We start from the raw sequence: 23718 nt of genomic DNA, 5'->3' as shown, positions 1-23718 counted from the left end.
GAGGATTTCTCCCATCCACACCTCCAGCAGTTTTCTGTTTTGAATTTGCTTCATAATATGGTAAAATTTACTCTGGCTGGGGGCAAAATATTATAGCTAAGCTTAAAACAATACATTTTTACCTCTTTATAATTTTAAGGATATTATTTGGTTTGGGTTATTGTCATTAGAGGCTTTTTGTCCTTGTATTGAATCTGATATGTTGAATACTGTGCCTTAGTCACAAAGAAGTTACTTTAGAATTACATGTGACCAGGAGCTTGCAGTTGGAATAGGTATACAGCTGCTCCCCCGTGTGGTTGTGGATCCAAAGAGCTTGTGGAGCTTGTATTAAGAGCACAACACCATTGCATTTTGTGACAAGTTAGCATCGTTCTTTTTTTTTTTTAAATTATACTTTAAGTTCTAGGGTACATGTGCACAACGTGCAGGTTTGTTACATATGTATACATGTGCCATTTTGGTGTGCTGCACCCATTAACTCGTCATTTACATTAGATATATCTCCTAATGCTATCCCTCCCCTGACTCCACACCCCACGACAGGCCCTGGTGTGTGATGTTCCCCACCCTGTGTCCAAGTGTTCTCATTGTTCAATTCCCATCTATGAGTGAGAATGTGCAGTGTTTGGTTTTCTGTCCTTGCGATAGTTTGCTCAGAATGATGTGACAAGTTAGCATCATTCTTGAGAAGCACAACTAAAAGTTTAGATCTAGAATTTTATGGCACTTCAAACTCTAATGATGATATAATAATATTATCGTATTTTCTAACCTATTTTTATAATATGTAATGCTCAGTTGTACATATCCAACTTTACCATGGCAAACTGGGAGGATATATTTTTAGTACCACAGTAACAGAGAAAGTTGGAGAAGTAGAAAGGACATAGAAAATAAACTGCAGTAAAGAATGATGGAAGATTTTGGCTTTTTGCTTCTTTATTCCCCCGTCTTCAGTGGATGAAACCGGAATAAAAATCCACATCAAGTTTTATTCTCAAGTTTCATGTAAATAAAAATGTACATGTATAAGATGGCTAAGCAGGTTAGGGATATCATAATTGATTATGGAATCATTTTTCTGAATTTGCTTCCAAGCAAGTGACATCTATTTCCAATGCTTTTGTCATGGGTAGTCCTTTTGGGACAAAATTCATGTTTGCTTCTGAGATCACTTATAGTCCATTTGTTGGGGTAGCAGCAGCTTGATCATAATCTGACACCGAGTTTTAGGCCCAACTAAGAAGACTATGATACAGTGGTATTCTGTTCTTATATCTCTTTAACTTGTACTTACCATGAATATGTCAGCCAGAATCTTGAACTATTAAATCTTAGTATTACTTAAGAAAAAACATTACTAAGGACTGAATATACTAGCTTTAGGTTGATTGTTCATTGTTATACAGTTTCAGGTGTAAGAATAGATAATATATTATTTAAGAGATAGGGAATGCTGTTATTTACTCCTATATTCTATTAGTGGACTGTGCTACATGTGGAGGTGAAAAATAATATAAGCCATAGGCTTTGCCAACAGAGGGCGTCTCATCTAGTGTGGGAGAAATGCAGTCACAGAATAAACAGGTAGCAGGGAGTAGTAAGACTTTTAATTGCAGTAAGTTTGAAAGAAGGTTAGGAGTCAGGATAGGATGGGTTTGCCAGAGGAACTGGAACTTCTGATGGAAAAACAGAAAGGAGAGGGAAAGTATTTTTAAAGGAGTTCTTGAAGAAATACCTCAAGAATACTCTGGCTCACATATTCAAATACAGTGGTCATCTTGTAGCTGTAAATCGACTCAAAGAACTACAGAAAGATTAGGCCGGAATAAAGTGACAATACAGTAGTTCTTTTGGAGAAAAGGGTTTTCACTGAATATGAGATTAGAGTCAAATCTCAAGTAAAGACAAGCTTCCAAAGAGCTAGTACAGCTACCCACAGAGATGAGCAGGGTGATAGAGTGGAAAGACCACCTGAATTAGGAATTAGGAAGCCTAGATTTTAGTTTGGGCTCTGACACTAATTCTATGGCTGGAGCACATCCCTTAACCTCTCCGAGACTCCATTTTCTTTATTATAAAATTAGAATTTGGACCAGTTGGCCTCTAAATGTCTTCCATCTTTGACTCTTTGTCTTTTCTGTGCACATAAACATCAGATCTAATCCTTGTTAGTGGCATTATTTTGAAAACATGGGACAGAAACATAGGAACAATATTCTTTATTGAAAAAAAAAAGAAAAGCAACTTTTATAATATTTTTAGGATTTACTGATTAAACATAGTTTTGGAAGTGTGATAAGAGGAAGGAATCTATTTGTATAGATGCTCAATTATTAAAACAAATTTTTTTGAGAACATGCCCAAATAAGGGCTGTATTCCTTTCCTGAAGCATTATATTGATTCTTTTTTATTGCATTGAGATGGAGATTTTAGGATAAGAGTCAGAGACCAATCAAAGAGTTTTGGACCCTCCTAATTTCTTATCAAAAGCAATGCCTAAATAATATTCCTATATAAGCTGTCCTCTTCTAAGCTCCTACCTGAAAGTGGATCTCTAATCACTTAGAAGGTCCTGTGCCTCACAGTTGGTATAATTGGAGTCTCAGTTGTTGGAGGAAACCATCGGGTAATGTTGTCCTCAGCTTACAGCAAGCCATCATGAGGAGTGATGTGTTGGGTAAACAAAGACTATCCTACAGCAGAAGTTGTGGAACCAGGGAAAAATTTAATTACAACTAAGTTTTACCTTCATAACTTTTATCTTTGGGGGATAATTTTCTAATTTATCTGTAGAAAAACAAACATTAAAAACAACAAGCTAGATACAGAATTCCTTAAGAAAAGTAGAGCTTTAATAAAATGAGATTTTGCCAATGTTATGTTCTCCCTATCTTTCGGGAGATGGTGCAGCCTCCTTAGCTTATTTTGCTTGAGAAAAAAGTTCCAAATCTGTTTGTTTCCTAATATCCCATTGCAAAAGAAAAATAATTGCATGACTGTCCCAGAGGTTTCAGGCTCATTTTGGGGTATTTCTAAAGATTCCCTGTAACCCATATTTTTTTTGTGTTTTAAACATTTCTTTGATGGTATCCCAGCAAGAAATAATTTATTCCTGGAAATATGATACTACTGTAACATTTCTGACTAGGATGATTTTCTGTTTCTAAAATCTTTTAAATTTTATAATGCTTGTAATGCATGCTTATTACAAGTTTTTAAAAAGCATGAAATTATAATTTTTTTATAAAAGGAAATTAACCTGCATAGCTTTCCCCTCCCTTTCCCTCCCCTTTTCAATAATTGAATCTAAAAGACATTAGGTAGGGCTGAGTAAGGTAGGAGTCTACATGACATCAAACCCAGAAGCTGTAAGAGAATAGATGGATAATTTAGCCACATGACAATAAAAAATTTCTACATGGAAAAACTTAAGCCATCACAAATAGGAAAAACTATTTGCATCACTTATGTTCAAAGGGCCAATTTTGTTTTTCTTTTTGTATGTAAAGAGTGTATACAAAGCAATTAGAAAAAGAGCATCAACCCAACAGGAAATCTACAAAGGAAGGGAACAAACTATTCATAGAAAATTATGCAATTTGTTCCTTTCCTTTATATAAAAATGAGAAATTTTCTTAAGTATATGAGAAAATGCCTAAATTCTCATTAATAAGAAAAATGTAGTTTAAAAGCATATTGAGATACTACATTTTACCTATTAAATTGACAGAGATCCGCCATTAAAATATTTTTTGAAATGCCTGTGAAAAAGCAAGCACTTTCAAAAATTGCTGATGGAATTACAAATTAATACAACATGTGTGGGGCACAGTTTGGGAATATTCAGCAAATTTACTAATACACATTCCCTTTGACCCAGCAATTTTACTTCTGGGAATTTAGCTTACTGATACACTTCCACACAAACTGAGGAATTTATAAACCTATTTATTGCAGCATAGTTGGTAACAGCAAAAGATGGTAAGCAATACAAATGTCCACGCATATCGGGAACTGGTTAAATAAATTATAGTGCATCCATAAAATGGAATACTATGCAGACATTAAAAACAATAAAGAAACTTCATGTGGAAGTGGAATGAAGTCTAATGAATATGTTAAGAGAAAAAAGCAAAGTATAGAAGTATATATATATATATATATATATATATATAATGCTACTATTCTTGTAAGAAAAAGGGAGGAAAAGGGTAGTAAATGTGCATAAAGTATCTCTGGAAATACACATAAGAACTGATTGCATTGTCTCTAGAGTTAACAACTAGATGGCTAGAGTACAGGAGTATAAGAGATTTTTCAAAGAACACCTTTTTATAGCTGTTGAATTTTTAACCATGGGGATTTACCTATACAATACATAAACGTCTAATGAAAAAGAGAAAACACCTGTAGGCCAAATAAAAAGAAAGAAGCATAACGTTATATCAGATGCTTTTATAGATCCTATAACCATAATAAACATCACATTTTTTTTCTTTGCTGTCTAGCTATCTCTTTGTAAATAGGATTATTCACTAAATTTCCTAATGCTGAATTCCTGGAGTGATTCCTATGTGACATTTTTTTTTTTTCCCTGAGACAGAGTCTCACTCTGTCGCCCAAGCTGGATTGTAGTGGTGCGATCTCAGCTCACTGTAACCTCTACCTCCTGGGTTCAAGTGATTCTCCTGCCTCAGCCTCCCGAGTAGCTGGGATTACAGGCACGCGCCGCCACACCTGGCTAATTTTTGTATTATTAGTAGAGATGGGATTTCACCATGTGGGCCAGGCTGGCCTCAAACTCCTGACCTCCTGTCCTTGGCTCTCCAAAGTGCTGGGATTACAGGTGTGAGCCACCATGCCTGGCCACTATGTGACATTCTTTTAATGCCTTGCTAGTTTATATTTGTTTATATTTAAATTTTTTGCATTAATATTCAAAACTGAAGATTTGTTTATAGTGGGTATTTTGTTTGTCAGCCATCTTTGGCATGTTTTGATAAGGAATATTATGAAACTGTATGAGAATTGGAAATATTTCCTTTTCTTTTTTTTCTTCCCTCTCACCCCTTGAGACAGGCAAGCTGAGTTTGAATACTCTTGGTATTTTTGCATATGCAGTAATTGTAGTTTTACCCACAGGAAGAAGAAGGAAATACTTGCAAAACACAAAAAACTTCCTGGCTCCAAGATTGTGTTTTATCCTTATCTCCAACCAATGATCTTATGGTGATAGCTCGAGAGCAAAAAGCTGTATTTCTAGTGCGTGAGTATCCTATTATTTTCAGCGACCTTTATTTTGATACATTGGATAGAAGAGAAAATGGATTAGGTGAAAAGAATATAATGCTTTTTATTTATTTATTTCTCTCTCTCTCCCCCCCCCCCCAACTCCTCCTCCGCCCCCTCCCTCCCTCCCTCTCCATTTCCCTCTTTCTCCCCCTTCCATTCTGTTTGTTTTCTCCCTTTTTTCTTTCTTGGCTGTAGCTACCTTAGTGCTCTCCATATGGTACCTCAGGGGCAGTACTGTGCATTGCTCAATTCTTGCAAGGGACAGTCAGAGCTAAAAAGGTCATTGACCTTTTCTTAGTAACAATGTGAATGAGGTGATTTTCAACTCTAATTTGAAAACTCATAATATTATGGATTTCTGTTTGGGGCATAGCATTTTAACTCATAATTTTTTGTTGAAGATTAAAATTGAGGTTTTTTTCATATCTTATAGATCTCCAAACCTTACTGATCAAAGTAAGATTGTGTGTAAAATGTGTCTAGAATGGTCTTACAAAGCAAAGTTACCCTCAAGTAGCAAAGATCTAGTAGAAAAATTTTCTCCGTCATCTGATGATAAAAGTAGTCTTAAACTAGGCAGGGTGGGCATAGGAGTTAATAACTTTATTCTACAAGAACTATGACAACATTATACAGGTTGAATTGGGGGAAGGAGAGGCTGAAGGCCAGGAGACTAGGTGTATTATAAGAATCTTATAAACATGTTTATCTTATATTTACCTATAAAAAAGACCCAAGTCAGTTAATACACAACTGTTAAATTTTGTAATCATATTCTAAGGGGAAAGAGCAAAATTTATAAATTACTCTTTTAGTGTATTATAGCTAAAATTATTTTATATGATATCTTAATTCTTACAGCAAAATGGAAATATAGTGATAAAGGAAAGGAAGAAATGCAATTTGCTGTTGGCTGGAGTGGTTCCTTAAATGTCGAAGAAGGGTAGGTGCCAGTTAATTTTTGTTTCTCTGTGTGTTACATGTATGTATGAAATTATTTGACTTGTAGGTGAATCTATTAAAAAGTTTCATTATTTGATTGGGTGCAGTGGTTCACATCTGTAATCCTAGCACTTTGGGAAGCCAAGGCAGGAAGATCATTTGAGCCCAGGAGTTCGAGACCACCCTGGGCAACATAGTAAGACTCTGTCTTTACAAAAAATTTAAAAATTAGCTGGATGTGATGCGCACACCTGTAGTCCCAGCTACTCGGGAGGCTGAGGCAGGAGGATTGCTTGAACCCAGGAGTTTGAGGCTGCAGTGAGCTATGATCATGCCCTGCATTCCAGCCAGTGCAACAGAGTGACACCCTGTCTCTTAAAAAAAAAAATTTTTTAGAATAAGAAAGAAATTTCATTATTTGAAATGTTTAGTAAATGTATATGTATCCTAACTTTATAGGTTGTAGAGAATGATTCAATCAGCAAATTTTATATATCGTGTAATTATGTTTTTAAAAAATTCTGTTGGAAGATTTAAGGAAGAATTCAAAAAGAATCTCGTAAAATCCTTTTTACATTTTGTCTTTTCCCTCTGTTCTCCATTACTAATTTTATTCATTGAAAAAGTCAAGGGCAATCATTGTCTTCTCTGCTTTGCTGATATTGGGCTTATACTTGAAGGGTACAGTACTACATTAATTCTTAAAACTCATAAACACTTAAGAAATGCAAGTTGGTACATTAGTTTCCTGCTGACCCAGTAAAGCTTTTGTAACCATGATATCCAGTATGGTGACATGATGGAGCTGCTAGCTTAGAACTTGAGCCCAAAACTGGTTTTCAATTAAATCTTTATGACTCAAAACTGTCTGATCAGAATGAGTAAGAAAATCCTTCATACTTTGAATTCAGATAAAAGACAACCAAGTGGAAGTGCCTAGAACATGCCTGGAACATTGTAGATATTTGAAATATTCTCTATCATCAAAATAAATGGTAATATTTCTCCTTACGCCATTTAGTCTAAGTGTTTTAAAGACATTTGATCTCTGTCAGAAATGCAAAGCAAACATAATACTTTAAAAACAGTGAACAAACACGAAGATGAATTTTGTTCATTGATTACCTAGTATGATGTATGGCATGGAAGTGTTTATAGTTTTTTGGATAAGCTGGTGATGATCCTCAGGTTTGACAGATTTAACAAAAGTCAGTGGGTAGGAGTTGTTTTGATTTTGAGACTTAGTTTCTGAGCTCCTGACAAATATTTCAAGTCTACATGTCAGAAAAAAAATATATCTTTTTTATATAACATCACACCTAACATGTGCTTAGAAATAGATGATCAGAGCAGTTTCTGCAAAATAGAAAAGAAAACCCAGCAAGTTGAAATACATAAGTTCCTAAAATAATGTACCCTGCAGAAATACAGTTTGCATGTAACGTGACTGGCAGTTCCTCAACCATTTGCCCAGCTCCTGATCTCAAACAAGAGGCAGGCTGAAGTTCTTAGCTGAAGCAGAGGAGAGAGAGAGAGATAGTAGGAAATGGCTGCGTGGGGATCATTTGAGCTTTGCTCAGTTGTGTATACAGTCAGTTGTGTAAGTAAAGTTTTGCTTTCTGTACTTTCATGTTTTTCATGACAATACAGAGTGAAAAATTCTGTTTTTTATTAACCTCAAATGCATGTGGCATTACATTTTGTGTGAATGAATTTTATGGACCTTACCAGTGGTGGAGTTTTACTGTATTTTTACTTATGCATCAAATAAAACTGGTTCACAGAAGTCATCTTCCAGTTATTATCCTTTAACATCCAATTATAGAGAAATAAAAGTAATTGGTAAGTTCAGTGGGTAAGCATATGATTTTGTTTTTGTTTTTAGGGAATGTGTAACCAGTGCTCTATGTATCCCACTAGCAAGCCAAAAGAGGTAAGGATAAATAAGAGTCATCTGTTTTCTTTGCTTTGATTTATGAGTTGTTAAGATAATAAATTTTGTTTGTAACAGGAGTTCCACTGGGCGTCCTGACTGGACCTGCATTGTGGTGGGTTTTACTTCAGGTTATGTACGCTTCTACACTGAGGTGAGTTGAGTTTTCAACAGCTGGAAAACACTAGTTGACTGCAATATCTGGTTATGCATCACCTTTATACTGTTTGTGACTTTATTACCTGCTGCCTGAAAATGTGTAGTTGATTCTTTATGGGGGTAGAGGCCGGGATAGGCCGTGGCAAGTTCTGGTAGAAGATACAGAGAAGAGGAGCTGTATTCTGAAAAGAGTGTACCTGGTATCTCTGGAAAACTGTTGGGGAAATGGTACTCTTTGCCTGGCCATACCTGCTAAGGTATATTGGTAAGAAAACAAGCAGGGCCCTTCTCTGTGCTTCCTCCTAGAATGGTGTGCTCTTGCTTGCACAGCTTTTGAATGAGGACCCAGTACTTCAACTTAAATGCAGAACCTATGAAATACCACGACATCCCGGCGTGACTGAGCAGGTAGTGTAAAAAATTGTGTTCCAACAGTAACAGTGGCATTATTTTGAAGCAGTTTCTCTCCTCTTTTTTAGGTAGAAACTTAAAAGAGATCTTTGTCTTGTGGCACAGTTAGTTAGCTCTGCTATCATAGTCTAGAAATATAATCTATTTGTAGCTGAGTAAAGAATACCAGTCTTGCTTTTACTTATTTAATGAAATATTATATGTTTCATTCTACAACAAAGTAAAACCCTTTAGTTAGAAGCCAAGAAAATTTCTTATTTTTAGAATTTAATAATGGGAAGGCAAAAATATGATATTTTATAACCTTATATCTTGTTTTATTTGGATTTAGGTGCCAAAATTACCCAGAGTAAAAGAAAAAAAATTTGGCCTTGTTACTAGTGATACTACCTTGTACTTAACTGTTTCTCAGAAAAGGGGTTACTAAGCTTTTGTTCATAGTGGAAAATACATATATTCATTGAAGATTTCAACTGAGAAAATAATGCTGTTTAGTATCCAAGGCTCTAACTTCTTAGGTGCCTTGTAACATTTTGGTTGTCTTAGTCAAAAAATAATTGTAGGGCCATTTAAACCAATATGCTTTTATTTGTTTTGCGGAGTGCATAGTCAAAACTATGTAATATGCCTTCCCTTTGTTGTACTACTTGGCCTCCAAAAGATTTCAAGTGAACAGATGTATATACTGTATGCATTTGTTAATTTAATTTGCATGGGAGATGGACTGGAGCTGTGAAAGAATCTTAACTATCTCGTAGGAGAGACTAGGATTAAAATCTAATAATATCTATGGATGAATTAATCAGTAATATAAAGCAATACCTAATTTATTGGTAATTTATTTGGACAGAATACAGTCTGTACAAGCTTAGAGAAAGAGGAGTTCAATTTGGACCAGGAAAATAAGAAAATTTCATTGATGAGGCGAGATTTGCATTAAACCTTGAATAATGGGTATAGAATTTAATTAGGTAATAGAAAAGAGGGGAAAGTGTTTCAGGTAATCAGGAGAAGATTTGAGAGAAGATTCGAATGTAGAACTATATATGCAACAACAAAGAAACTTATGTTATAAAGTAATGAGAAACTGTCAAATAAGCAGAGTGGCCAAATTTTGCATAAATTCAAAAGCCAAGTGAAAAATGAGAGTTGATTCAGGAAATGAGAGAAACTCCTAAAGATTTATGAGAAGGAAGTGAAATAATCAAAGGAATATTGAAGATTTCTTTCTTCAGGATAAACTGGAATTAGGGAGGCTAGTTATCTGGTTTTTTAAGTCATCTGTAACAGATGTGGAGTGCTGGGTGGGAGCCAGGACTAATATGGTGTATGGGAAGAGAGAAAGGACTAGTACAAAAATTGTTTTGGGGCCGGGCACGGTGGCTGACACCTGTAATCCCAGCACTTTGGGAGCCCGAGGTGGGCGGATTGCCTGAGCTCAGGAGTTTGAGACCAGCCTGGGTAACACGGTGAAACCCTGTCTCTACTAAAATACAAAAAATTAGCCGGGCATGGCGGCATGCGCCTGTAGTCCCAGCAACTTGGAAGGCTGAGGCAGGAGAATTGCTTGAACCCAGGAGGCGGAGGTTGCAGTGAGCTAAGATCTTGCCACTACACTCCAGCCTGGGCGACAGAGCGAGACTCCGTCTCAAAAAAAAAAAAAATTGTTTTGAAGAAGAAATTAATAGGACCTGGTTATTGTGTAGAGATGTACAATTTTTTTAAAATGAGCTAAAGATGTCTCTAAGATACTTATCCTGAGGAATGCCATTGTCAAAGTTGGAATAGGGGACTACATTGGCAGTAAATGTTATTAAATGAGGTTTTGCACATGTTGAGTTTGAGGCGATGGTAGGAAATAAAATCAAGTTACTGATATCATGTAATGATACAAAACTGTTGTATAGGCACAGAGACTAGATTGGACACGATGGTTGAAGTCATAGATAATGAATGAATTCTTTCAAGTAAAGAGTGTAGGAAAATAAAACTGCAGGCTGAAGACTTAAGTCTTAGTAACTAATAATACTCATCGTAAGGAGATAGGAGAAATTGAACTATTAAAGGAAACAAGGAACAGCTGGAAATCAAAGAAGATAATCTGTGAACTGAAAATAACTTTCCAGAGATGTTTTTCATTTTTCTAAAAATTGACTGGATGACGAAGCTTTTTAAAATACGTTAAATTTGGTCATGTCTGTAATACTCTTTTTTAGAACTGGTGGAAAAATATAACTAACATTTAAATATTTCCTTGCTATTTGCTGTACAAAGCAAGAAAATCATCTCAAAATTTTTATCAAGAAGGAAGTCTTTGTTGTTACTCTGTATGCTACGTTAAACAGCTCTGGATCTGACACGTCAATTTATATATCAAAAATATCTTCTATTTGCTTCTTTTTAATATACTCCCAGATTTGTCAGAGATCACAGAAGCACATTTCCTCTAATTCAGCTCTAGGAGCAATGAGTGTAGTACGGGTGACAGCAGGTCATTCGTTTCAGGAGAGGATTCGAAAGAGAGGAAAAATCTCCTGGAATTTCAAAGAAATTTCTTTTGTATAATAGCTTCTGTAAAAAGATCTTCTCTGTCATCTAGCACAGTGTCTACAGATTTGGGGCCAATGGTGTTTGTATTAGTGTTTTCTTCAGGAAGACTACCTGGTTTTGGAGAAACTAACTTGCTAGTGATTAGGTCTTTTCTGTTTTCTAGCTCCCCAAAGTCAGTGAGGAGGCTCTCTCCCTGCTGCTGTGATCACTGGGCCATGCATGCTTAGTCTTGTGAACTTGTCATGTGAGAACACATGCCATGTCCCTTCCCCACTGGTTTATGCCCCTGTGGCCCTGAAGTCTTCTTTAAAAAGAGAAACAGCCTGACAGTCCAGTAGAAAAAGGAGCAAAGCAGATTTCAAGAGAAGAAATTGGCCCAAAAGCATATAAGAAAATTTTGAGCCTTAATAACAATCTAAGAACTATAAGAAAATATAATGAGATAACTTTTCACCTTTTGGATTGGCAAAGATAAAGATTAACAAACTTTTGATGACAATATAGAGAAACAGTCACTCTCATGTATTGTTGGTGGAAATATAAGTTGATAGGTACTCTTTGAGGCAACTTAATATATATGAGAATGAAAATTGTGAATACTGTATGACCCAACAGACCCACTTGAAGGAATTTACACTAAAGTAATATCTTACTAACATGAAAAGATATAGACAGAAGAATGTTTATTGCAGTGATGTTTATAATGATGAAAATATGTTAATTCATAAATATTCTTTACTGCCTATTATTTGCCCAGTTCATTTCTAATCCCTGAGGATTCATTGGTGTAACAGGCATACAAGGTTCCTGCTTTCATGGGGCTTACAGTTTGGGGATGGTAGAGGGAAACCAACAGTAAGCAGCTAGAGATATCAAGGTGATTCCAATCTCTGATAGGTGCTGTTAAGGAAGTCATGTTGATAAGATAGTAATGTGCCAAGAGAATATGTATGTTGTTTGAGATGGAGGTTCAGGAGCAGCCTCTCTGGGTAACTAACATTTGAACTGAAACCTGAATGACAGGAACAATTAGGCAGGTGAAGATCTGAGAGGAGAAGATCCAAGCACATGCAAAGGTCTGAGGGTAATGATGACCTCTCATATTTGCCAGATGTTGCAGCCATGGTTAATGAGTTCAGGTTTTATTCTAAATGCAGAAGAGAGTCATTGAAGAGTTTTAATCAGGAGATTGGTTTGATCTGCTATGTCTCACCAAGAGCACACTGGCTGTGTGGAGCATGGATTGTAGAGAGCAAGAGTGGAAGCAGGAGGCCAAACTGAATGTCCGTCAATATGAACTGGTTAAGTAAAATCGGGTACATATAATGAAAGACTGTGCAGCCACAACAAAAAATGATTTGTTCACTTATTGAAATGGAAAAATATCATTGACATACTATTGAGTAGTAAAAAACATGTTAGGATACTATATGTGCTATAGCCTTATGCAAATGTGTATGAATATATTTGGGGATGTGTATTGAGACGTGTCTGGGATTTCAGGTGAGTTTTCTTCTGTTTTTACATACTGTTTGTATCTGTGCAATGAGTATATTTACTTTTTATGAAATTGTAATTCTTTATTTACTCTCAGCATCTTTGAGATAATTATTCACCATACACAAAAGGTTATATTTGAAAAGAATTTTAGGTCTTTGGCAAAAAGGCACTCTCAAATTAATTTTTTATCTATTTTTACTGTTCTTCTGCCTGATATTGCTTTGGGTGTTGGGTGGTTATGTTACATTATTCGTGAAATTCAGTATAATAAAAAGTAGATAAGCTTATTTATCTATTCAAGAACTTTTTTTTTTTATTTCTTAAATAGAATGAAGAGTTGAGTATCTTATATCCAGCTGCCATTGTGACTATTGATGGATTTAGCCTTTTTCAATCTCTTCGTGCTTGTCGAAATCAGGTAGCAAAAGGTAATATTTTGGCAAGAAATATTTAACCTCTGTTAATGTTTGTTTTATTTAATTTCACCTGCTTATGGAATTAAGTATGTCTTCTAAATAAAAAAGGCCTTCTGAACTAGATTTATGGGAAAAACCTGCCTTCTGTAGAGAAAGGGGAGCATGTTGAGTAGATTGCTTAGTAAGGTAGAGATGAGCTAAAACATAAACACTCTTCACACGTTGCCTTTGGAGAGTGTGGTCAGCACAGGAACACCGGGCTTTCTTCACGAATTCAGCAGTATGTCTTGGCTAGCTAGATTTGCAACCAACATTGACAACCAACCCTAGTATTGACAACCAACAATGGGGTAAAGAATTTAGTTGCATGTGGCTGAGGTACCAGATTTTCACTAGATCAGCAGCTGATCAAGGCCAGCATCCTAAAATCTGATGACTCTACATTGCTTCCATCCTCCCTGAGAATAAAGCTATGACTGTGTGCAAGGGAGATGCAAGATCCTACAGATATCACTGTAGGCAGGACCCAGCAGGGAGTCAACATGAGCTGCTTTTTGCTAACTCAGAACACTCAGAATGGAGAAAAGGTAGAGGCCTAAACTTAATATATATATGGGCAATGACATTTTGTGACTTAGGGATGAAAACTGCCCAAATAATCAAGAATTCTTACTTTTACTACCTATAGTTTACATTCTGATGTTGTTACATCTTTTGGAAGAGATATTTCATCAAATTCAACATGCCATTGATTGTAAGATACACTATTGTTTTATGTACCACTAAGAAGAAAAACTGTTGCCAGTGAAAGACACACCATCAATTTTCAGATCTCAATTTCAGAGTTGTGAAAATATGGAAGAGTCTTAAAATCAGTGAAAATACAATAGCAAAGACTTGGAACCAACCCAAATGTCCAACAACAATAGACAACAATGATAGACTGGATTAAGAAAATATGGCACATATACACCATGGAATACTATGCAGCCATAAAAAATGATGAGTTCATGTCCTTTGTAGGGACATGAATGAAACTGGAAACCATTCTCAGCAAACTATCGCAAGGACAAAAAACCAAACACTGCATGTTCTCACTCATAGGTGGGAATTGAACAATGAGAACACATGGACACAGGAAGGGGAACATCACACTCCGGGGACTGTTGTGGGGTGGGGGGAGGGGGGAGGGATAGCATTAGGAGATATACCTAATGCTAAATGATTAGGTTAATGGGTGCAGCGCACCAATATGGCACATGTATACATATGTAACAATCCTGCACATTGTGCACATGTACCCTAAAACTTAAAATATAATAAAAAAAAATCAGTGAAAATATTAGTAGCACTAACTTCCCCTTTTCTTTTGGGATTGAGTAGAGGAGCCTTAATGGCCCCAAAACAAAGTTTAACTTTGGTGAAAAATTAAATGGCTGATAATACCGAATATAAAATAATTGTCTATTTCTAGTTTATTAAATTAATGGACTTCTTACCTACGGAAAATTGCCTTTTGATATATAGATTAATGATGAGTATTTTAAATGTTCTCAAGATAATGAAGCTTATGGTTGGCTAAATTTAAATAATTTAAAAGATTCTGAAAATAGGTATAAAAATTTAAACAAATTCTGACCTAGTAAAAAAGCATTTACTAGAAAAGAACCACATAGCCAAGACATCAGAATTTTTGCCAATCATACCAACCTGCTAAAAAAGACAGAGAAAAATTTTTGATTGCAATATGAGATGCTGGATTTAGACTAGGTTTAGAAACAATTTTATGAAGCAGTAAACATATCCTAATTAGCCTATGTTTTCAGGAAGCCGTCTCAACCATTTAGGAGTTAAACTTTGTTTTGGGGCCACTAAGTCTCCTCTACTCAATCCCAGAAGAAAAGGGGAAGTCAGCGCCACTACTCATATTTTCACTGATTATAAGACTTTTCTTTTCCATATTTTAACAACTGTAAAATTGGGATCTGAAATTATTTCTAAATCTAGTCTAAATGCAGCATCTTATATTGCAATAAAAATTTTTTTCTGTCTTTGTTAGCAGGTTGATATGATTGGTAAAATAAGGAAGTCTTGGCTATGTGGTTCTTTTTTTACAATTAGTTTAAATTTTTATACCTATTTTCATAATCTTTTAAATTATTTAAATTTAACCCACCATAAGCTTCACTATCTTGAGAACATTTAAAATACTCACCATTAATATATATGCCAAAAGGCAATTTCCTGTGGGTAAGAAGTTTATTAATAAACTAGAAATAGACAATAATTTTATAATTGGTATCATCAGCAATTTAATTTTTCACCATTTTTGAATTTCTGTTTGTTTGTTGTATATAAGACCATAAAGCCATTTGTCTCCTGGGAAGTAAGGAATTAAGCCACTTAGTGCCCTTGGGTTGTAAGTTGCTATAAAAAGAGTTCTGGTTACTTAGCCATAAATTGTGATGTTTATTTCAGCATATAAGAAAATTATCTTTTCTTGGCCGTACTGTCAATCTGCAATATTTAGAGGTTATATTTTTTCTTTATTATTATTTTTCACTTTCCTGAATAAACAGCCAGAACTCAGCAATATTCTAATATGTAGCATGGGAGTTTACTGATTTCATGGGATGTACATGAATCTATGGCAAGAGATGTAACTGTTGCTTTTCCTTTTCTTACTCACTAGGTGAAGGGACTGAGGTTAAAGATTGGCATTTCATTCATTTTTTTGACAGTGCTGTTGCTTTTTACATATCTTTCTATCAAGTCTGGCCTCAGTTACCTAGGTTAGAGACCTTGCTGTGTGTGTGCTCTGCCAAGTATATCAGGTTTTTAGTTTTTCTATCAGTAAAGCACTGATTCCTATCCCTAGGATTTTATCTACTTTGTCAAGAGGGAGAAATTGCTTACTTGGCATCACATGCAGTTTGAATTCACTTTGTTTTTGTTTTGTTTTCTTTTGTTGTTTTCGAGACGGAGTCTCCCTCTCTTACCCGGGCTGGAGTGCAGTGGCGTGATCTCAGCTTACTGCAACCTCCACCTCCCAGGTTCAAGTGATTTTCCTGCCTCAGCCTCCCGAGTAGCTGGTACTGCAGGCATGTACCACCACGCCTGGCTCATTTTTGTATTTTTACTAGAAATGGGGTTTCACCATGTTGGCCAGGCTGATCTCAAACTCCTGACCTCAAGCGACCTGCCTGCCTCGGCCTCCCAAAGTGCTGGGATTACAGGCATGAGCCACCATGCCCGGCCTGAATTCCCTTTGATTTTTAGTAGTAGTCTAGGATTTTTAATAGTCTTCTTTAATTACTGGAGTGTTCCAGAATCTTTTGTGACAGCCAACTTAGTCTTTTAAATGTTTGCATTTTACGTGCATTGTCTTGGTGTGAATAAATCTCACCTTATGCCTTGTTTTCATTACTTTGTGTCATTATTAGCTGAAATTTTAGAATAACAAATTAGTATGGTTTTAATGTTTTTTTGTAAAACTTCATTTTATCCATAATAAGTTTGGATTGTCTTATTTTATCTTTGGTAGCTGCAGCATCAGGCAATGAGAACATACAACCACCACCATTAGCTTATAAGAAATGGGGTCTACAAGATATTGACACTATTATTGATCATGCTAGTGTTGGTAAGTATTACTAATTCAAATTCTCTTGGAATTTACTTCTTACACTTTTTATTGAAGTATCTCATTTATTAGAAATGGGCATTTATTCTTTATTTATTATTATTATTTTTTAAGATGGAGCTTTGCTCTGTCACCCAGGCAGGAGTGCAGTGGCATGATCTCAGCTCACTGCAACCTCCACCTTCCAGGATCAAGTGATCCTCCCACCTCAGCCTCCCAAGTAGCTGAGATTACAAGCATGCGCCACCCCGCCTGGCTGATTTTTGTATTTTTAATAGAGACGGGATTTCATCATGTTGGCTGGGTTGGTCTTGAACTCCTGACCTCACCCGCCTCAGCCTCCCAAAGTGCTGAGATTACAGGCGTGAGCCACTGCACCCGGCCAAAATTTATTCTTATGTGAAAAAATGCATTGCCTTTAGTGAGACATCTGGAAGTTAGTTCAGATTCAGATCATCATAGGCATATATCTTTAAAACTGGGCATGATGGCTAACACCTGTAATCCCAGCACTTTGGGAGGCCGAGGTGGGTGGATCACATGAGGCCAGAAGTTCAAGATTAGCCCGACCCACATAGTGAAACCCCGTCTCTACTAAAAATACAAAAATTAGCCAGGTGTGGTGGTGCACACCTGTATTCCCAGCTACTTAGGAGGCTGAGGCAGGAGAATTGCCTGAACCCGGGAGGTGGAGGTTGCAGTGAGCCAAGATCACGCCACTGCACTCCAGCCTGGGTGACAGAGCGAGACTCTGTCTCAAGAAAGCAAAACAAAAACAAAAAGAAATGGTAGCAGTTTTAATAAAGATTTAATTATGCCCTCAGCCACAGTATTGTACAGTTTTAAGTCACTCACTGTTTGACTAATTTTTCTACAGACAAATTTGGTCTATATAATGACCATATAAATCAGTCTTAAAAATGTAACCTTGGTCAAGTGTGGTGGCTTGCACCTGTAATCTCAGCTACTCAGAAGGCTGAGGTAGGAGGATCTCTTGAGCCCAAGAGTTCAAGACCAACCTGGGCAATATAGCGAGACCCCATCGCTTAAAAAAAAAAGTAACCTTTAAACTAGTAAAATATAGATAAAAGCAGATTTCTTCTTGCAGCCACTATAAGAGAGCTTACTGTGTTAGGTACTGAGGGTATAGAGATGTAAAGACATGCTTCTCTGTTGTCTGAAAGTGTGAGTCTAGGAGCCTGGTTAGAAGAAACACATGAGAATGGCTACAATACTACAACATAGTAATTGTAACAGACAAGGGGACCAGCTGTAGTGGGAGCAGAGGAGGACACACTTATTGTTTCTCCAGCACACCATACACTTTTATCCCTAGATCTATGTGCATGTGGGCTAGAATGCCTCCTCTGTGTTTGTTCACTTGGTCAAGTTCTACTCATTCTATGCAAACTGGACACTGGGAGAGAAAGAGCAAGGAGAAGAGGAAGGAGAGTGACTCTAAAGAGGCTAAGGATATCTGACACACAGGCCATCTTTCTATTTACTGCATAGCTCTTACATGGAATACTCTGTAATAAAAACCTATTGGTAAACATTTCAGTGTGTCTACTTTTTTGCTAGCATAAAAATGCTGCAAAATTCCAAAGTGTTAAGTTCAGTTCAGGGTAGCTTCCCTGCTCTGTTAATTAAACTTTGGAACATTGAAACTGGCTAGGGAAAATGATTGGATAGAAACTATTATTCTATTCATTTATCCCCAGCCTACAAAATGAAAAAAGGTACAATAAACGTTATTGTATGTACATCTTTATGTAGAGGTCTGGTTAATTTATTCAACAAATAAATGAGTACCTATTAATATTTGTGCTAGAAATACAAGATAGGACCCCACCCTGATAAAGCTTACGTTTTGGTGATGGGGAGACAAACAATAAACTAAATGAATATCAAACTCTTAGTGGGCATCATGAAGAAAATAAGTAGGTTATGGTAGAGAGTAAAGGAAGAGGGTGCTTTAGGTAGACTAGTGAGGAAAGGCCTCTCCAAGGACATGACATTCAGACTGAGACTTGAAGGATGAGAAGGAGCCAGCTATGGAAAGAGGTGTAGGAAGAGCATTCTAGGTAGAGGAGCATCAGGGATATAGGCCTGGGAGCCTTGAAGACCTCAGAGTGTTCAAGAAACAGAAAGGGGGTTGGTGTGACTTGACTGTAAAGAGTGAGGGGAAAACAGGACAAGGTTAGGTTGGAGATGCAGACTGGGGTTAGATCACGTAGGGATAAGGAGATCCGATTTTATTCTAAATGCAGTGGATGTCACTGATGGATTCTAAGTAGGGGATTACATTTAAACATATCTCCCTGTTTGCTGGGTAGAGAGATGCTTGTAGAAGAAAGCAAGGAGACCAGTTATTGCAATAATTCACCCAAGAGAGAATGATGGCTTTATGGTGGAGGCAGTGGAGTTGGAAGGAAGTAGACAGATTTGAGATACCTTTTGTACTTGCTCAGGGATGGTTTTGAGAAACAAGAGGAAGGAAAGAATTAAGGGTTTCTTAATTTTTAAGTTTGAGCAACGGGCTGGATGATGAGACTGTTTACTGAAATGAGAATAAGGAGGAGGAGAGGAAGAGATTTAAGGTAGTCAAATAAAGAGTTACGTTTTTACAGGTTAACTTCTGACACAGTTAAACATTCAAGTAGAGGTATCAAGTATACGAATTGGACATGAGAGTCAGAAGTTCAGGGAGGAAGCTGGGAATGTACATATAAATTTGAGAGGGAGTGGTTTACTGTGGAATGTTTCGTAGAGTTCAAGAAAAGAAGAAGGTCCATTGGATTTGACAACATGGAGTTATTTACTTACTGACTTTTGATATGAAAGTTACAGTAGAATGGTGAGGATGAAAGCCAAATTAATATAGTCTTAAGAATAAATATTTTCACCCCCTGCTGTCTAAAATCACAAACAAGGAGCATAAGAAATAGATTCCCAGTATCTCCATTTTTATGGAGTCCTGACCTCTTGCTGAAGCCTCATACTCATTTCTCCAGCTCCCTACTGAATAATTTCTACCTAGATGTCAAACTTAACATATCCAAAATCGAGTAATTTCCTCCTGTCAAACTTGCTCCTCCTTTTTTTTTCTACATCATCTTTCTTCTTCTGGTTGCTCCTTACCGTGACATACAAGGCCCAACTTTATCTGGCTTATGGTACCTCTGACACTGTCTCCTGTAGGGTTCCCCTCCCTGTTCATTGTGTTTCATCATGTAGATCTCCTTTGTGTTCCTCAGACACAGCAAGCATATTCCTACTCTAGAGCATTTAGAATTACTGCTCCCTCTGCCTGGAAAACTTTAGCTAGTCACATGGCTTTCTCCCTCTCTTCACTCAGGTCTCCTTATATATCACATTGTCAAAGAGGCCTTCATTAGTCACTCTACTAGGCCTAGAAAATTATCCAATGAGTTTGACTTTATGGAAACTTATATTGAGAGGGACTTTGATGTCTTTCAAAGTGTGGGAAGGCCTCAGACGCTCAGGGAAAATTCTAAATGACAAGGTAATAATAACTCCAGAAAAAAAAGAATGCACAGCCAAGGAAATGTAATTACAGTAAGTAGCATGTCTCAGCAGTGAGTAATGCTTATATCATTCCTAATAATAAAAACAGTGAATTTAATAAAACGTTGAGATACAAATATTTTGGAAGGATATAGGGCGAGAAAGAGAGATGTAAATAAGCCATACCACCTTAAGTTAATGAAAAATAGTGCTAAAATCAGTGACTCGAAAGATAAAAGCCCCCTAAATTCAGTACCAATGTGTAGCAATATAAAGGGCAGAAAAACACTTTAAATAATACTATAGGAATGTGGTCAGCTGTAGACTGTGGGAAATTAGTCTCAAACAGCCTTGTTGCTTCAACAAATAGATTTCAAAGGATCGAGGATGGGAAGGAAGGGTTGAGGAGGTCAGAAGGATTTTGGACCAAGCTTTATGTCCATTTGTTTGTGGTTCTTACTTTGAAACCCAGAGGTATTGTTTTTCTTAGCAATGATCAGCTATTTTGCTTCAAGAGCAGAGAATGCAGAAAGTTTAGGTCAACCAAGATTAAGATTTAGCCAGAGGAGTATGTGTGTAGGGGGAAACGAGTGTAGGGAGGTTGTGGATATTTGCAAGAAAGTGATGATGATGGAACACAAAGCTAAGCTGGATGGAAAGGGAAGTGATCCCAAGAGGTACTTGATAAATAGTGGAAAAAATAGTAGGATTAATTAGTTTAAACTCGAAATTGTGAAATTACTGCAGGGAGTTTCTGGAGTAATTGAGATGGAAAGCTAGGAGGTGGTGGTCTAAGTGTGGTAAGCTTGAAATCAAAAATACAAAGAATCTACAGTTGCTGATGACAGGATCTAAAGTGTGACATTGAAAATAGATGATTTAAGTTATAGGAAGGAAAACATCATTGGTAGCAAGGATGGAAAGGATTGATCAGCCATTTCCTTACAATAAATTAGAATCCTTTAAAAAAATTGCATATCTATTGCAAAATTGTCCTCTGGATTACTGTGTAGTAATTTATACTCCCATGTATATTGCATGGGAGTTTAAAAAGAAGCTGTTTTAAAACTTAAATTTCAATTTATGTGCCATATAGTTTGCCCTTTGATCGTGTTTTGGTGGAGTCAGGCAAAACTTAAGCAAATTTTGTAATGTAGTGAAAACATTTTGTATACTGAATCATGGATTCATTCATGACTATGAGATAGGTGTTCTGATCTTTTATAATGGTCTAGGAGGTGGGAGGGGAGTTTAAAAAATAGTCCAAGGATTTGTTTGATCACTTTAATTCCTATAAAGCCAGTGAATGGCTTGCGTATGAACTCACTCAAAGAATTTCCTTTCCTAGGACACGTCTTAAGGACGAATGCATTTTTTGACAGTTTTCAGGCAAAGGGGAGGCCTGAAATATATGTATATGAAATTTAGTAAGGTCAGGCACAGCAGCACACGCCTATATTGGCTGGGCACAGTGGCTCACACCGGTAATCCCAACACTTTGGGAGGCTGAGGCTGGAGGATCACCTGAGGTCAGGAGTTTGAGACCAGCCTGGCCAACATGGCAAAACTTCGTCTCTACTAAAAATACAAAAATTAGCTGGGCATGGTGGTGCGCGTCTGTAATCCCAGCCATTCGGGGAGGCTGAGGCAAGAGAATCGCTTGAACCTGGGAGGCAGAGGTTGCAGTGAGCTGAGATTGCACCATTGCACTCCAGCCTGGGCGACAGGGTGAGACGCCATCTCAAAAACTAAAAAAAAAAGAAGTGAATTGGTATTTGGGGATATAAGTGGACTGTATACTTCTGGTACCTCTGAGTTTCATATCTGTTCAAAAAATTAAATTTTGTTTTTATGATATTCTATAGATTATGGAAATTATAGATGGAAATTTTAATATTTATTATTATTATTTTTTTGAGATGGGGTCTCGCCCTGTTGCCCAGGCTGGAGTGCAGTTGGTGTGACCTCAGCTTACTGCAACCTCCACCTCCCAGGTTCAAGCAATTCTCCTGCCCCAGCCTCCCAAGTAGCTAAGATTACAGGCACCCACCACCATGCATGGCTAATTTTTGTATATTTAGTAGAGGCGGGGTTTCACCATGTTGGCCAGGCTGATTTCAAACTCTTGACCTCAAGTGATCCAACTGCCTTGGCCTCCGGAGTGCTGGGATTATAGGAGTGAGCCACCATGCCTGGCAGAATATTTTCTGATGTTGACTTTGTAGCTTTTAAAATGACTTTTGGTTATTAAATAAAACTAAACATTTAGCATCTTAGAATGGAACTGAAGTAAAAATGTAATGACCGCAATAACATTGTACATTCAAATCACTTTTTTTTTTTTATTAGGTATTATGACTCTGTCCCCCTTTGATCAAATGAAGACTGCCTCCAATATAGGTGGATTTAATGCAGCAATTAAAAATAGTCCACCTGCCATGTCTCAGTATATCACTGTAGGGTCCAATCCATTTACTGGCTTCTTCTATGCTTTAGAGGTATGAGTTTTATCAATGATCATGAGTAAGGCTGCTCTTGATTTTACAATTTGTCTACAAATTGGATATGGTAACTTGCTTAGCCTTAGAAGATTAAGCAGTTTACATTTCTAAATTTCAATTGAAACTAAAATTAATCTCAACTAGCTTTCTTCTAAATTCTTTAGATTAACTGAAAAGGTACTACCATCAGTATAAAAGGAAATTCTTTGTTTCTGAAGCCCTGAGTTCTTTGATAGCTGAGATGTCTTTAAATATTGGTGCAATAGTCAGGAGCTCAGGCTTGTTAATGATGCCAGCCCACTAGGGATTTGAGTAAATGAGGAGTTGTAAAGACAGAACAAGCTGCCAACTATACTTGTTATAAGTGGTGAAAATTGCTTCCTAAAATAGTGGAAAGTTGAGTGTTAGATTTGGCAGCTCTTGTTTCTCACTTAAAAAGCATGCTTCTCAGAATTGTCCAAAATATCTTTTTACTTTTATAAAAATGTGTGTGTGTATATGTGTGTGCATATATATATATTTAAAGAGAGAAAGGAGCCAGTTATGTGTAGGTGTGAAATCCATAGTCCAGCTAGAATAATGTAATCTTAATGTCCTAGTTTAAAATTTATTTGAATGAAATTACAATTTAAAGAGAGAAATTCTAATGGTAAAATAGACTAATTGTGATTTTATTTTTAAACTATAGAGTTAAAACTTTTTCTCATATTACGCCTAAAATAAACTTTTTACTGTACTCTGAAAGAAGCTGAGTTGCTAGTCCAGCCTTTACAACTTTTCAAAGCATTTTAAAGTAAGCTTTATTTAGAAAGTATGTTTGTTTCTTTGTAAGCTAC

At 36.6% G+C, this 23718-nt stretch overlaps 1 protein-coding gene, 2 non-coding genes and 1 pseudogene across 3 annotated transcripts in view; 3 read left to right on the top strand and 1 right to left on the bottom strand.

The window, feature by feature from the left end:
- RAB3GAP2 (RAB3 GTPase activating non-catalytic protein subunit 2) overlaps positions 1-23718 on the top strand; it is a 124161-nt gene that overhangs the window by 53325 nt on the left and 47118 nt on the right. Inside the window, exons 3-10 of the mRNA NM_012414.4 lie at positions 5150-5273; positions 6161-6242; positions 8127-8174; positions 8253-8328; positions 8640-8741; positions 13123-13222; positions 16755-16853; positions 22731-22879. Coding sequence (NP_036546.2) covers positions 5150-5273; positions 6161-6242; positions 8127-8174; positions 8253-8328; positions 8640-8741; positions 13123-13222; positions 16755-16853; positions 22731-22879 — 780 coding nt within the window. The remainder of the gene's footprint in view (positions 1-5149; positions 5274-6160; positions 6243-8126; positions 8175-8252; positions 8329-8639; positions 8742-13122; positions 13223-16754; positions 16854-22730; positions 22880-23718) is intronic.
- On the bottom strand, positions 10847-11481 carry SNX2P1 (sorting nexin 2 pseudogene 1; annotated as a pseudogene).
- On the top strand, positions 18453-18583 carry SNORA36B (small nucleolar RNA, H/ACA box 36B). The gene has a single exon (NR_002994.2). It is a non-coding gene; the product is annotated as a small nucleolar RNA, H/ACA box 36B (small nucleolar RNA).
- On the top strand, positions 18510-18591 carry MIR664A (microRNA 664a). The gene has a single exon (NR_031705.1). It is a non-coding gene; the product is annotated as a microRNA 664a (primary transcript).

Source organism: Homo sapiens, chromosome 1 (assembly GCF_000001405.40).
Source record: "Homo sapiens chromosome 1, GRCh38.p14 Primary Assembly".
Classification (NCBI taxonomy): Eukaryota; Metazoa; Chordata; class Mammalia; order Primates; family Hominidae; genus Homo; species Homo sapiens.
Note: the sequence above shows the minus strand (reverse complement) of the source record. Positions and strands in the feature narration are given on the sequence as shown.